Consider the following 14,228-nt stretch of genomic DNA (forward strand, 5'->3'; position numbering starts at 1 on the left):
AGGCCTCCTACAGTCCCTAGAGGCCCCTCTGCAGTTCCTAGAGGTCTCTGCAGTCCCTAGGGGCCCCTCTGCAGTTCCTGGAGGACCCAGCAGTTCCTAGAGGCCCCTCTGCAGTCCCTAGAGGCCCCCCGACTGCCCTGCAGTTCCAAGAGGTCCCCCTGCAGTTCCTAGAGGCACTTCTGATAGAGGCAGGAGGCAGAGAAATTCTAGGCAGACAGGGGTGGGTCTCTGGCAAAATCCCACCTTTGAGCCAAAAAGCCTGAAACCCAGGACCCAAAGTGAGAACTTGTATCCCCATTTGGCTGCTCTTTCCCAATTGGTTCTTTCTGAATAATGTCTTTTTACCAATTGAATGTTGCCTTTTCCAAAACTACCTGCCTTGCCCCTCACCCTTTGCCACTGCAGACTCAGTAGGTAGAGAGAGAGAAGCTTGACTGGAGAGAGGTGACTTGACTTCAGAGGGACTGCTGGACTTCAGGGGAAGATAACCTGCCTGTCCCATCCCTTCTCCAGCTTCCCTGTCCACTGAGAGCCATTTCCATCGCTTAATAAAACTCTCTGTCTTCACCATCCTTCAAGTGTCTGGGCAACCCCATTCTTCTTGGATGCCAGCCAAGAGATCGGGACCCCCCAAGTGTGGGTACCCAAAGAAAGGCTGTCACACTGGTCCTTTGCCCTCACTGGCAGAGGGCAGCCACCCCACACAGTGAGGCAAGGGGCCCACTGAACTGATAACACACTGCTGTCCACGGAGAGTGGAGCTAAGAGAGCATTATAACATGCCCTCAGGGACTTTGGGGATCACAGGCACCCCCACCTGGGCACTACCGCAGGGTCTGCATAGAGCTTGCTCCTGCTGGCACCCAAAGCAGCTGGCTGGATCCTGCACTCACTTAATCACGTGCTCCCTTCCACAGGGGGTTGAGCGCTGTGGGCCGAGTAAATGTGGAACCCCCATTGCAAATTCGACAAAGTGGTTGAGAAAAATCCTGCATCACTTCTGTAGTACCTAGAGGTCTCCTGCAGTCCCTAGAGGCCCCAGCAGTTCCTAGAGGCCCCCAGCAGTTCCTAGAGGCCCCCAGCAGTTCATAGAGGTCCCAGCAGTTCCCAGAGACCCCCAGCAGTTCCTACAGGCCCCAGCAGTTCTTTGCCATGTGGGGTTACCCAGCATATTCACTTATTTCATCAAGTCAGAAAGCAGAGGCTCTCTAACATGTCTGCTAGCAAGATTATGTTTTTTTTTCTTTTAGTAACAGGGTCTCTGAGTAGTCTAGAGCACATGCCACCATAACCAGCTAACTTATTTTTTATTTTTTGTAGAGATGAGGTCTCCCTATGTTGCCCAGTCTGGTCTTGAACTCCTAGGCTCAAGCAATCCTCCCACCTTGGCCTCCCAAAGCACTGAGATTACAAATGTGAGCTCCCATGCCTGGCCAAGACAGGGTTTTAGATAATGGACTGTAATCATGAGAGCAACCTCACATCACATTTGCCACATTCCATGGGTTAGAAGCAAGTCACGGTCCTATCCATACTTCAGGGGGAGGGGTTCTGAACACCACCTTAGAGTCTGCCTGCCGCAGAAGTTACTATCTCTGAACTTCAGCTTTTTCACCTAAAAACATGAGGCCAATAATACACCTGCCCTTAGGGTAGTCGTGAGGATTAATGCATGTAGAGCTCTTTGAACAATACCTGGCTTGTAGCAACTGCTCCGTAATAGATAGGTACTATTATTATTGCTGTTATTATTTGTATTATTATTACTAGATATCTTGCTACAGCCACATAAACATCAGCAACTCTGACCACGTTTCAGAATTCACTGACTGGTTTGCTCGTGCTTCTCAGGGACTCCTAACCCATGCTCTTCTCACCATAGCTCAACACATGTGTGGCTGCAGGGGCAGCTGCGGTGTTTGCTGAACTTCTCTTGTCTGTCCATGACCTGGTGGGAAAATGAGGAGAGGAAGAGGAAACATCCTTCCTTTTTTATTAGACAGGGCTCAGAATTACTATCAGCTTGAGTACACATCCTGAACATTTTCAGCTATCTGGTCCAAGGCTAGGTCATCGATAAAGCTGAACACTCACAGTATCCACACAGCAGTTTAAAAATTGGGTAATTTGATAAAAGAATTAAGTCCTCATGGGAAAAGTCTGAAGCTTGTTGATCTTCCTCACACAAATATGTGCAGTTTGGTGGTGCTTTCATTTGGAATTCTATATGAAGTTAGAGGTAGAAAAACGTGAGTTTTCTCAGTAACTATGAGCCCTGAAGCTTCTGTTCTGATTGGAATATAGCAGAAGACCTAGAATTGAAAATGTCTGGAATTGCAAGTTCTCTGAATTAGCACTCAGACTTCATTTTTGTTTCATCCACCATTAGACTAGCCATCTTCATTTTGTTTCTTAGATTAACTGCAACAAATCAAAGGCAGTGAGAGGTGAAGTTTCTTGGTGATTTTCCTTCTGACAACAGTCACATGCACAGCAGAGAGCTTGAGAGTGATTAGGAGACAGCAAAGCTGTTGACAAAGGCAGAATTTTATAGGAAGAGCAGTTTGGGACTATTTATGATACAGGTTAAGTGGCATTGCTTACCTCTGTGGTATCACAGAGCATTGCAGCATCAAAAAAAGGTTACCTCTTATTGAGAATACGCACTTTAATCACATAAAATATGTTATACATTACTTTTTCAATGGTAGAAATAACACTTTTAAAAATTAGTTCTAGGGTTGTGCTTTAGATTTCATGAAAAATTAACTTATATATATCTCATATATTAATTAATACAGGTTAGTATTAGAGTAACATAGTTCATTTGGCAGGGGAAGGATCAAACAGGGAAGGATTTCTACAGAACAGAGGACAAGAAGGTGCACCTTTCACCTCCATCTGTGGGACAGGCCATGTGAAAGCACGCCTGCCACTGTCCTCACTTGACTCCAGCTGCCTTGCCTCCTTTGCTTCTGAAGTTCCTGTCCCTGCCACTTCTAATATCAAACCCATCACCAAATGGTCTGTCCTGTGTGTGGCTGTCTTCTCCCCTCAGCAGCTCTGGGAAATTCTCCTGAGGGCAAAGCATTGCCTGTTCTGGAAGATACCATCCATCCTGCAGATCCTGAGCCTGGTGGCCTCTGAAGCCCCACTGCTCTCCTCTGTCCCTTTCACCTTTCACCCCATTCAAGTCACCCTCCAACTTAGTGGGGACTTACAATCAGGATGTGCTTCTCCTTTAAGCTGATTTTTAGCTATTAAAAATGAATGAACTTGCAAATTATGTTTCTTTTATTCCTACTGGGGTTGCCACTCTTCCATTGCTGGCATCTTGGCTGATGGGAGGATGACATTTCCCAGTGACTGGGTCTGCTTTCACATTCATCTGCAGAATGAGGTGGTGTTTGCCTCCCTCAGGTCTTTGACTTGGGGCTATAATAACAGCACCATTGCTTGATGTCTTGCTTTGGTTTTGGTTTTCCCCATAGTCCAAAAGCATGGGGAAAATACACACACACACACACACACACACACACACACACACACACACACACACACACTCTCTCTCTCTCTCTCTCTCTCTCTCTCTGTCTGTCTCTGTCTCTCTCTCTTTATTTCTTAAAATACATGTTGGGGCTCTTTTCTTGTACTTCTACATTGTAACACACATAGTTTGGTTACAGCTTCTTCAAATAGTGACAATTTTCATCTGGCCTTTATGTATTCCCACATGGGAACTAAATGGATTAAATTTTCATTTCTTCCTTTGAAATGTATGCTCATAAAGCATGAGGAAATGTAACAGGAAAGGGTTTTAAGGCCAGTGGGATACTGAGTGAGCAAAGAAGACTAACAGAGAAGGTCCATTTATCATTGGAAACTCGAAGCTCGTTATTTGACATTTATAGTTTATACTCAGCCTACTTTCTGAAACTGAGGTGGCATCAATACATCAGACTAACAGGGAGAAAGAGGAGGGTGGAGATTCCACATGGCTGTGGGAGACAGACAAATTCAGCTGCAGCAATGCATTCCTTCCAATTTATTATTGGCTTACAGAGACCCTACATCTTCTGCCTGGAGTCGCATGTCCAGGTACTTAACTTCTGGAAATTGGCTGCAATGGCCTCCACCTGGAAAGGCCACCTCAGAACTGGCTTGTTAGATGTCCACAGGAAAGCAAGTCTTTGCCTTAGCCCAAAGCCCTTGAATTTTTATTGCTGTTTTACTAGATTGGTGCAAAAGTAATTGCAATTTTTGGTCATTGAAAGTAATGGCAAAAACCTTAATTACTTTTGTACCTACCTAATACTTTGTATTCTATCCTTCTTTTACTACATCGTTTTATCTGTCCAGTCACAAAGTTAAGAGGTTGCCCCTACAATAAGACTGTTCACATAGAACCTAGCTATTAGAAACACTAGCTGGTGGGATCATCCTTGCATCCATTAGGGAAGGAAGGCCAGTGAGGAGCACTGGCATTTGTTGGAATGTTACACTATTCTGGCACTTGGCAACGTTATTCCCATGGATTCTAAAACCAGGGATCAGCCATTCTACCAGTACCTGCTGCAGAAGATCATCTTTTTGAATGCGTCCCTGAGCTCTGGGCTCCGGAAGGCATATATGAAGGGGTCAATGACGGCATTGCACATGATCAACATGCCGTTCACCTGGAAGAGAGACATGTAGCAGGCGCAGTAGGGGTTACTTGGGCAGAATGTCATCAAGAGGACATGAAGCACAAAGGGGGCCCAGCAGAAGATGAAGACCCCGAGCAGGATGGTCAGTGTGATGGCCCCTTTCATGTTGGCTCTGGGGAGGGTGGAGATCTTCCTGGTGTGGGATCGAGCCAGCAGGAACATGTGCACATAGAGGCACAGGATGAAGACCAGCATCAGCGGGAACAGCGACGTGAAGGTGATCACTGTGGGCACATGATGGGAGAAGATCACCATGGTGATGCCAGTCCCCGTGCAGAACGTCCAGATGACCGTAAGCACCACCACAGTGCGGCGCATGGTCACGATGCTGTGGTACCGCAGTGCGTGGAAGATGGTGATGTAGCGGTCCGCAGCAATCACAGACAGGCTGAAGATGGAGCCAAGCAGGGAGAGGACAAACAGGGAGTCGATGATGTCATCGGCTGTGGTTTCAAAACTGCCACGTGGCTTGAGATAGCCCATGTTTCTCAATATGATCAGGATATTTTCCAAGATCTTATATAGGCTGCCCAGCATATCAGATATGGCCAAGCTACAGATGAAAAAGTACATGGGTGCCTGGAGATTCTTATTCTTGAACACAGCCAGCAGGACGATCAGATTCTCCAAAACTCCAACAATGGAAATTGTGAAAAATATCTCCTCCGGCAAAACCACACGAGGACAGTCGGAATTATTTCTTGCTGTGTTGTTGATGTTTTCATACGAGTTGATAATGTGCTTCATTTCTCCTGCTTGTGGTTAAGGCGGGGATGTTACTTGGACTTGACTTCACGGAAAACTTGATTGATTCTTCAGGATCTTTTCTTCCTTGTAGCACTTGCTGGAGATCTAAGTTAAAATCTCCCAATCACCTAAAAGGGAGTATACAGAAATATTAGTTGCAAAGTACACTAGAAAATAAAAACCAGCCACACTCGCTTAAAGAAACTCTATTCCCTCCATAAAATATAAAGAAATCAGTATATTAGAAGGAGCCTGCACATGTATGTTTATTGCAGCACTAGTGACAATAGCAAAGATATGGAATCAACTAAAGTGTTCATCAATGGGTGAATGGATAAAGAAAATGTGGTACATATACACAATGGAGTACTCCCCAGCTATCAAAAAGAATAAGGTCATGTCTTTTGCAGCAACATGGATGGAAGTGGAGGCCATTATCAAAGTGAAATAACTCAGAAAGAGGAAGTCAAATACTACATGTTCTCACTTATATGTGGGAGCTAAATAATGCATACACGTGGATATAGAGTGTGGAATGGACATTGGAGACTCGGAAGGGTGGGAGGGGGCGGGTGATGAGAAATTACCCTATGGGTAACACGTATGTTATTCTGATGACAGATACACTAAAAGCCCAGGCTTCACCACTACACGGTATATCCATGTAACAAAATGGCACTTTTGTACCCCTTACATTTATAAAAATATATATAAAGTGTTGTAATTTAGGTAAAATAATATACTGGGCCCTCATCTTAAGCACTTTGTGAGAAAAAGCTTTAGTGGAATTTTGAGCCGAGAGATGATAGCAAAGATTATTCTTTGCCGCCCCACTTTCCCTCCCATCCTTCTCGTGAACACACGTGAGTGTGGGATGAACAGATGAACAGCAGCGGTGCCCTTGATGAAAAAAGAGGTAAAGCAAGGAAAGGTCCATGTGGGAGCAGGAGAGCCCACAGCTGCCTTCTCTGACTGGGAGGCGGTGGCTGGGCTCGGTGGACTCGGGAGATGTTTAGTCCATTCCTTCTCACTGCTCGTCTCCCTGGGTCACTGCCTGACCCCACAGCCTGTGGGATAACGGTAAAGGTGCTGATGTATCATTCCCAAAGATGACTATACAATGAGCGTCAGCACTTCTGTTTCAAAGGTGGAGCTCCTGGGACTGGCATTTCTGGAGACTTCTTATTTTCTGTGTCTCTGGGGTGAAGGCGGACTGCGGCAGTGCACCAGTGGGGAAAGCCAGCACCACGTGGCGAGGAAGACACTTCCTAGGGAGGACAAATTTGGGAGCACAGCCTATGATCTGAAGTCCACGGGGAGCCCATCACGGCCTCACTCTAGGGACTTGTCTGGAAAGGAACTAATTACCTTGGAAAGGATTGGGTCAGAGGTCAAGTGTTCAGAAGGAGGTTTGTGGGTCCGGTGGATGCGGAAGGAAGGGGTTGACAGGGCGTAGCTGCTGTGAGGGTTCTGCCTGGAATGGCCAATTTACCTTGTTTGCCTGAAACATGGACAGGGTTTAAAAGCCAGAAGTTCTGCATCTCAGGAACCACCTCAGTCCTGGGCAGACAGGGATGAGTCACCTTCGTGCCTCCTGCCCAGGCCCGGGGAAGCCTGTGTGCTGTGTCCCACCTGCTGGGGAAGCCTCGGGGATGGGAGGGGAAGCCTGTGTGCTGTGTCCCACCTGCTGGGGAAGCCTCGGGGATGGGAGGGGAAGCCTGTGTGCTGTGTCCCACCTGCTGGGGAAGCCTCAGGGATGGGAGGGGGCCTGTGTGCTGTGTCCCACCTGCTGGGAAAGCCTCAGGGATGGCAGGGGAAGCCTGTGTGCTGTGTCCCACCTGCTGGGGAAGCCTCGGGGATGGCAGGGGAAGCCTGTGTGCTGTGTCCCACCTGCTGGGGAAGCCTCAGGGATGGGAGGGGTCCTGTGTGCTGTGCCCCACCTGCTGGGGAAGCATCGGTGATGGGAGGGGGCCTGTGGTGGTTGGTGTTCATGTTTCAGCCTGACTGAGTTTCAGGGTGCCAGGTATGTGGTGAGACAGTGTTCTAGGTGTGTCTGAGGGTGTTTCTGGGTGAGATGCACATTTGAACAGGTTACTGAGTAAAACAGAGGCCCTCTGGGATGGGGGAGGGCCTTGTCCAATCAGCAGAAAGCCTGAGGATAACAGACCAGCTCCTCGACGACCTGGGGGGCTCCTCCTGCCTGACTGCCTGATGGAGACACTGGTCTCTTCCTGCCTTCGGACTAGCACAGAAGTGTGAGCTCCTCTTAGGTCTCACGTCTGCTGGCTTTCAGACCAGAACACATCATCTACTCTCCTGGGTCTCCAGCTTGCTGAGTGTAGAGCTTGGGACTGCGCAGCCCCATAACTGTGTGTGCCAATTCCTTATAGTAAATCTTTTATGTCTCTACCCATCTCCTGCTGTTTATTTTCCTCTTCAGAATCCTGGTTAATACAGGGGCCAACACCTGTGGCCAGCATGGGCCATGTATGGAGACTCTGCTGGGACAGATACTCCCATCTCATGAGTCCATTAAATGTAATCAGAATTAGTATATATTTCCAATTTCAGATGCATTTGATGGTAAAATTCATAAAAAAAAAAAGACATGTTGAAAGTGGTTGTAATATTTTTTTAGAAACAGGTGGTTTGGGAGCCCAGCTTCAGTTGCTGTGCATTGCTGACCTGCAGCTGCCAATCCTATAAATCCATGGGGAGCCCTGAATTTGGACAGATACACAGTGTGCCCATGGGGTCCCTTCAAAAGGCCACCAATCAAGCATTGCTACTGCACGTTTGTGGATGCTGCCAAGCTGGTGGTGGGGGCTGCAGGTGGTGTGTGGCCCCATTCTTGGTTGAAGGGCCAGTGACACGAATTGGTGGCCTTTATGAGTGCTCAGCATGCCATGGGCACCACCTAATTCTCCAGATGCATTCACTCACTCAACCCCCAGAGGAAGCTACCCCAGAAAGGTTGGGCAAACGCCCAAAGCCACAGTCTGGAGAGGATACAGCAGAGCCCGCCTTGTGACCACCATGTCACACTCCTTTCACAAGTGGCAAGGGTAATAACAACAGATGCAAGAGACCAGACACAGCACCCCCTACTCCAACACAAACTGCAATAAAATTGACAGCAGTCACTTTCCTCTCGACTTGGCCTTTCTCAGTGCCAAGTAGGATTTGTAAATTCTGCTGCATTGCTATGCTCCTGTTGTTCCTGCTTAGAGATTGCCTGTAGAACACACTAAATGACAATTAGAAGAAGCAAAACTCACTCCATTTAAACTTCACAAGGACCTGCTGTGAGGTGGCGTCAATGATCCAAATATTTCAACAATGTCTTTGGCTTAAAGAACTTGGATAGGGGTCTGCACCTGCCATATGTCTGGCTCTCATCCATTCAAAGCCGTCTGCTGTCCTCTCCCATTTGCTTTTTTGTGTCTTGATTTCTTCACTGCAAACAACACAGGTCTAGAGCCCTTCCACCTCCTTCCAGGGTTTGTGGTTTGCTGGGCAATAAATGTCCACCCTTCAATTCCATGCTGCTTTCCTCTGTCCATACCCTATTGAAACCTGTCTCAAGCTCCTGGGCTCAAGGCATCCTCCCACTTTAGCTTCCCAAGGCACTGGGGATTACAGATATGAACCATCCCACCTGGCAGAGTGATCTTTAAATCTCATTCTTTCTTATGTTATTGGAACCTCTGGAGTTAACTCCTGGCCCGAAGACCAAGCTCCATCACCTTGAGCTTGCAGTAAACAAGGTCTTAGAAGGCTCTAACTCTGCAGTGCTCCCCAGGAGGCAGAGATGGGGTGGTGGATGAGAAAGGAGAAAAGAGACAAGTTTTTCATAGCTTTATAATCTGTACCCAGAAAGAAACTTGGTTGATTCGTTTGCCTGAAGGCGTAGGTCTTGGCAGGCAGAGCAGACAATTGGGGTAGTTATAACTGTTCAAGGGACTGCAAGGAAAAGCAAAACCGACTTTTGTTTTTTGGCTGGGAGGGGCGCACAAATCATCGAGTTAACAGCATCACAGGGCACAAGAACATGGCCCCGGATAACTCAAATGTGGCCCCAAATGTGGCTCACTCTGTTAGATGCTCTTTGGAAAGTCCAGGGAGCATGGGCCTAAAGTGAGATTTTTATATTGATCATCATCTTTGACCAAAAAAAATATATATAGTTTTTATATTTTTTAAAGGCTCCAAGGGTAAGGAGAAGGCTCTATTATGTGTTAAATTCTTGTTATGTGCCAGCTGGTCTTGTGTCCTGTGCTGTGCATGGTGGGTCTCATTTTAATCCTCTTGTTGACAATACAAGGGAGTCCTATTCTCTCTGACTCACCCCTGATCTGACTCACCCCTGAGGAGTTGAGGCCCAGAGACCAAGAGACCGGTCTAAAGTCCCACAGGCTTTGTGTTGCACAGCTGGGATTTAAATCAAGATCTGTTTGGCTCCAAAAATGATTAATCTTAGCGCTTCCATGAATATTCATTTGATAAGGAAGTTTTAATGGCTTTAGTAAAAAAATGAACACAAAATAACTTAACAATCTTAAACCTCTGTATCTGACCAAATCAGGATGGTTTTAAATCTTTCTGTTCTCTAAATTTCATTTAGAGAAAAATCTCTCTGAAATTTAGAGAACAGCAAGACCTGTAGACACCACTTGTGGTTTAGGAAGGGAGTTAATGCTACAGAAAGCCTTTGAGCAGCAGGGCTGCAGGCGTCCTGGGGCCCATGGGCTGTGTTTTTGGGGTTCCGTGGATCTTGCTGAAGATAAGTTAGCAACACTGTGCCGCTTTCCTCTGCGCTGCTGGGTGTTTTCTCGGATTGCTCTTCTGGAGAAGAGCTGGGGAAGGAGGACTGAGTGGCTGAGTACTGTTTACCAGGGGCTTTCAGGCTTTTCTAGAGGGCAGTCCTGTAATCCAGGCTTTAGAGAGAGCCAGTGTAGGACTGTGCTCCTGAGCTCTGGGTTCTGGTGGTGGGAGCTGTCACGCGGCTGGGGCTGATCTGCACGTGTCGGGGTGAGGTTCTGGGACCAGCTCTGAGTGAATCAGGAGCTCCTCTCCGCGTCCCAGCTTCTGTGCTGCCTTTTTTCTTTGTTTTCACTAGATGCATTTAAGATTTTTATGTCACTCGTTGCATAAGTTGTACGGCCCAATACACTTATGTCTGTGTGTCTGTATGTGTGGATATGTATGAATAGTACAAAGGCTCCCTCCCCATGCTTTATCCAACGGTCCCATCGCCACCTTCAGAAGTCCGGTCTCCTTCTGGAATTTCTTTATGCATACACCAGCAAACATGAATATCCATGTCTTCTCTCAGTCGTTAGGGTTTCTGGGAAGCAATTGCTGAGATGATGGGATTAGCAATGCCTGTCAAGGATGAAGAGGAGCCTGCAGACTGGAGGCAGGCATGACTCCTGGGCACACAAGGAGGAAGAGGATTGAGTAGGGCGGGTCTCAGACTGCAGCACAGTTCTGAGAACATTTCATCTGGCCATGGGGAGGCTTCAAGCCAAAGCTGCCCATGAATATTGGTGGGGGAGGGATTTGGAAAACTGGGCTGTCAACTCTTTTCTAATGGCAGGAAAGCTGAGTGGCTCACGTCCACGGCCAGCATGCCTCCGCTTCCTGTGTATTCAAAGAGAGTATATTGTATATCATGTCTGTACCTTGCTCTTATCTTGGAGGCTTTCCAAAAAGTAGATGGATCACTTCCTCCTCCCTCTTCTTTCTTTCCTTCTTCCACTGCATGGTATTCCATTGTATGGATGTATCCCAAGTTATTTAATCTATTCTGTATTGATAGTTATTTGGTTTCCAATATTTTGCTGTGTAAATAATGCTATAATGCATAATCATCTACGTATATAGTTTTGTGTGAACCTACATGAGGAGGATAATTTTACAAAAATGGAATTGTTGAGGGCAAATGTGTATGCATGGGTGGTTGTGATAGATGTTGTCAGGCTGCCTTCCATAGGGGCTATCCTGGTTGACATCCTCACCAGCAATGCCTGAGTGCCTGCCCCTTCCCTAGCCTCTTCAGTGCAAAGTGCTGTCAGGCTTTTGGATTATTGCCAATACACATCTGGGGACTGTTTCAGCATCTTACTTTGGTCTATATTCTTGCTGTGGAGTCTGTGAGCCCTCCTTTTGGTGGCTTTGACATTCCAGTTGGGGCAATCACACTGCCATTCCTGCAGGCTCACAGCATTTTGGCCCTTCGGGTCTTGGCCTCTTACTTGTTTCAGTGCCCAGGAACACATCTGACCCATCCCACCTCAACATTTGACAGAGGGAGGGAGTGGCATTTTCTCTTTGTGCATGACCTGTCTTTATTACTGATTAGTGCTTCTATTTCTTGGTCCTGAATTCAAACAGAGAAGAAAAAGACTGGAAAAACTAAGCAGCAAAATAAGCTAAAGATGATCTAATAAAGAAGAGATAAAAAATGGGAAACAGGATGCAGTAGTCAAGTACAAACAAACACACAGGGCCAGGCAGGGTTTTGCATAATTTAAAAGGGCCAGTGGTGGCCTGTGTCCTGAGAGGACCAGAGTCTGGGGTCAATTCAGGGGCCCTTCACCATCATGCAGGGTCGTGCTGGGGGCTAGGGAATGGATGACTCCCTCTCGCTGATGGTTCAGAGCCCCTGTGGCAGCTTTTAAGGATGTTGCATATTCCTCTGGTGGCAAGTCAGAATGAAGGTGGTCTGAATGTTGAAAGCCACCCTCTGAAAGGGGAAGAGTTATTGTGACTTTTGCTAGAGATTACTGGCTTTGACTCAAACTTAGAAAACAGAGGATGAAGTATGGTGGGGGGCGGGTGGGAAGATGTGAGCCCTCAATAAGCCTGTAGGACTGGCTGCCCCTTTCCCTTGAGGGCCTACCCGTCCCTCCCCACCGGCACCCATCCCTGTTCAGCACAGGCCTCTGGGCAGGGTCTGGTGGTGGTTGGAGCATGGGTGGCGGATGAGCCCAGCTCACCTTGGCTCATGTGCCTTCCTTTTCTGCCAGGGCACCCCTTCACTCCTAGATGCTTGGCTTGAACAGCGTAGAACAATTTGAAGGACTTGTAATAAAAGTGACAATAAATGAACTTTTTTTTTTCTTCAGACAGGGTCAGAATAATATTTGGCCAAATGTCTTGACACCCCATGGTTCAGTCAAGTTGAGATAAAATTAACCATGACAATAAAGAAAAAAAGAGAGCTATTAACCTTATTTTGAAAGAGAGATACAGAAATAGAGATGGAGATAGACATAATCTGTTACACACACACACACACACACACACACACACACACACACACACCACACACACACATCTGTTGCCCAGGCTGGAATACAGTGGTGTGGTCATGGCTCACTGCAGCCTCAACCTCCCGGGCTCAAGTGATTGTCTCGCCTCAGCTTCCCAGTGTGCTGGGATTACAGGCGTGAGTCACTATGCCTTGCCCCAAATGAACAATTTGCAAAGATTCTTGTGCTTGTTTTGGTGCCTTTTCATAACAGATCTCAATCTTCAGTTCATGTGCAGTGAACTATTTTCTCCTTCAGGAGCCCCCACTGAATATCCTCTTTTTAGACATGCATACGATTGATTGCTGTGAAATTCTTTGTGATGGCTTCCACCCAATTTCTTATTTGGTTGAATTCTGAACGACATCCGGAAGTTTATATGTCTGCATGATTCACAAGTAGTCCTGAATCAAGCATTTGTCTTGTTATCCACTGTGGCGTGGGGTGGCGAGATGGCTAATATGGAAGAGTATGAGTATTGATAGTGAAAGTCAGAGAGTAATTTTTTACCACTGTGCCTTTTGGTTTTTTAGACTCATCTGAAGTGCAGATCTTCTGCTTTGAAGCTGGTTGATGTGCTTGCTTTGAGTGCTTATGAGTATTCATACAAGCTGTGAAGTAGAAGGGTCTTGAAGGTGCCCAAGCTCATCAGGTTGTGCTGCTAAGAATTCTTTCACTAAGGGATTTATTTTTTGCTTGTCTTACCCTCCACATGAAAAAAAGTCTTTATATTAATCACCAAGCTTTCACTTCCCTCTTGAGGTAATGGAGATCTCAGCCGGCCCAGCTGTCGCCTGTGCCTGCCCAGTCACTGTTAGTTACTTTGGGGTTTGTGTTGCTTGCTGGCTAGAGGGAAGCTCGACTGAAATCAATAACAAAAGAGAAGATTTTGAAGTTGTAGACAGCACTCAATGGATATGGATTTTTCTCAAATTATATAGTACAATGCAGAGGGTGAAGATGAATCACTGACGTGGAGAGGCTGAGTCTGCAGATATTCAGCTCTGTGATTGCATTTAACTGTATTGCACAGGAGTGATACTCTGTTATGGAAAGGAGCTGAATCTGTTCTAAGAATAGATTTGAGGTTGTTCACCAGAGGGATGGCCTAAGCAATATTACATTGGATCCCAACACCTCTTCATGAGGAGGCACTGGCTTCTGGAAGTTTATATTTGAGTGATAATAAATCTCTGTGTCTCACCTCTGCTCACTCATCTTTCTCCTTAAAAAGATTCTGATATTTCCTGGAAATTTTTCAATAGTTTTGGAAGAGAAATGAGAAATAGAAGCATGTGTGTTTGTGTGTGTGTGTGTGTGTGTGTGCGTGCATGTGTGTGTGAGAGAGAGAGAGGATGTATCAATATCAAACTAAAGTTTGATTAGTGACAGGTGACCTTTTGTTCTTTAATTTTCTTTTCTATTTCTTCCCACAACATAGCTGTGAGACAGGCGATCT

General features: G+C 46.5%; 1 protein-coding gene across 4 annotated transcripts in view, besides 4 other annotated features; it reads right to left on the reverse strand.

The window, feature by feature from the left end:
• MC2R (melanocortin 2 receptor) overlaps positions 1,979 to 14,228 on the reverse strand; it is a 33,664-nt gene continuing 21,414 nt past the window's right edge. For 3 of the 4 annotated variants that reach the window (NM_001291911.1, NM_000529.2, XM_017025781.2), the window contains one exon: positions 1,979 to 5,581. In NM_001291911.1, coding sequence (NP_001278840.1) covers positions 4,560 to 5,453 — 894 coding nt within the window. In that variant the 5' untranslated portion in view covers positions 5,454 to 5,581 and the 3' untranslated portion in view covers positions 1,979 to 4,559. Of the gene's footprint in view, positions 5,582 to 13,474; positions 13,632 to 14,228 lie in introns of all 4 variants that reach the window. The other variant, XM_047437537.1, reaches the window with a different exon arrangement.
• Positions 7,271 to 7,783: an enhancer, noted in NCBI's record as "H3K4me1 hESC enhancer chr18:13887335-13887847 (GRCh37/hg19 assembly coordinates)". NCBI's record gives its function as "activates a minimal SCP1, AML or CMV promoter by ChIP-STARR-seq in naive H9 embryonic stem cells {active_cell/tissue: H9 hESC(naive)}" and the evidence as "EXISTENCE:reporter gene assay evidence [ECO:0000049][PMID:30033119]".
• Positions 12,084 to 12,133: a silencer, noted in NCBI's record as "silent region_9337". NCBI's record gives its function as "represses an Ori minimal core promoter by ATAC-STARR-seq in GM12878 lymphoblastoid cells {active_cell/tissue: GM12878}" and the evidence as "EXISTENCE:reporter gene assay evidence [ECO:0000049][PMID:35858748]".
• Positions 12,164 to 12,313: a silencer, noted in NCBI's record as "silent region_9338". NCBI's record gives its function as "represses an Ori minimal core promoter by ATAC-STARR-seq in GM12878 lymphoblastoid cells {active_cell/tissue: GM12878}" and the evidence as "EXISTENCE:reporter gene assay evidence [ECO:0000049][PMID:35858748]".
• Positions 13,682 to 13,801: an enhancer, noted in NCBI's record as "active region_13129". NCBI's record gives its function as "activates an Ori minimal core promoter by ATAC-STARR-seq in GM12878 lymphoblastoid cells {active_cell/tissue: GM12878}" and the evidence as "EXISTENCE:reporter gene assay evidence [ECO:0000049][PMID:35858748]".

Source organism: Homo sapiens, chromosome 18 (genome assembly GCF_000001405.40).
Source record: "Homo sapiens chromosome 18, GRCh38.p14 Primary Assembly".
Classification (NCBI taxonomy): Eukaryota; Metazoa; Chordata; class Mammalia; order Primates; family Hominidae; genus Homo; species Homo sapiens.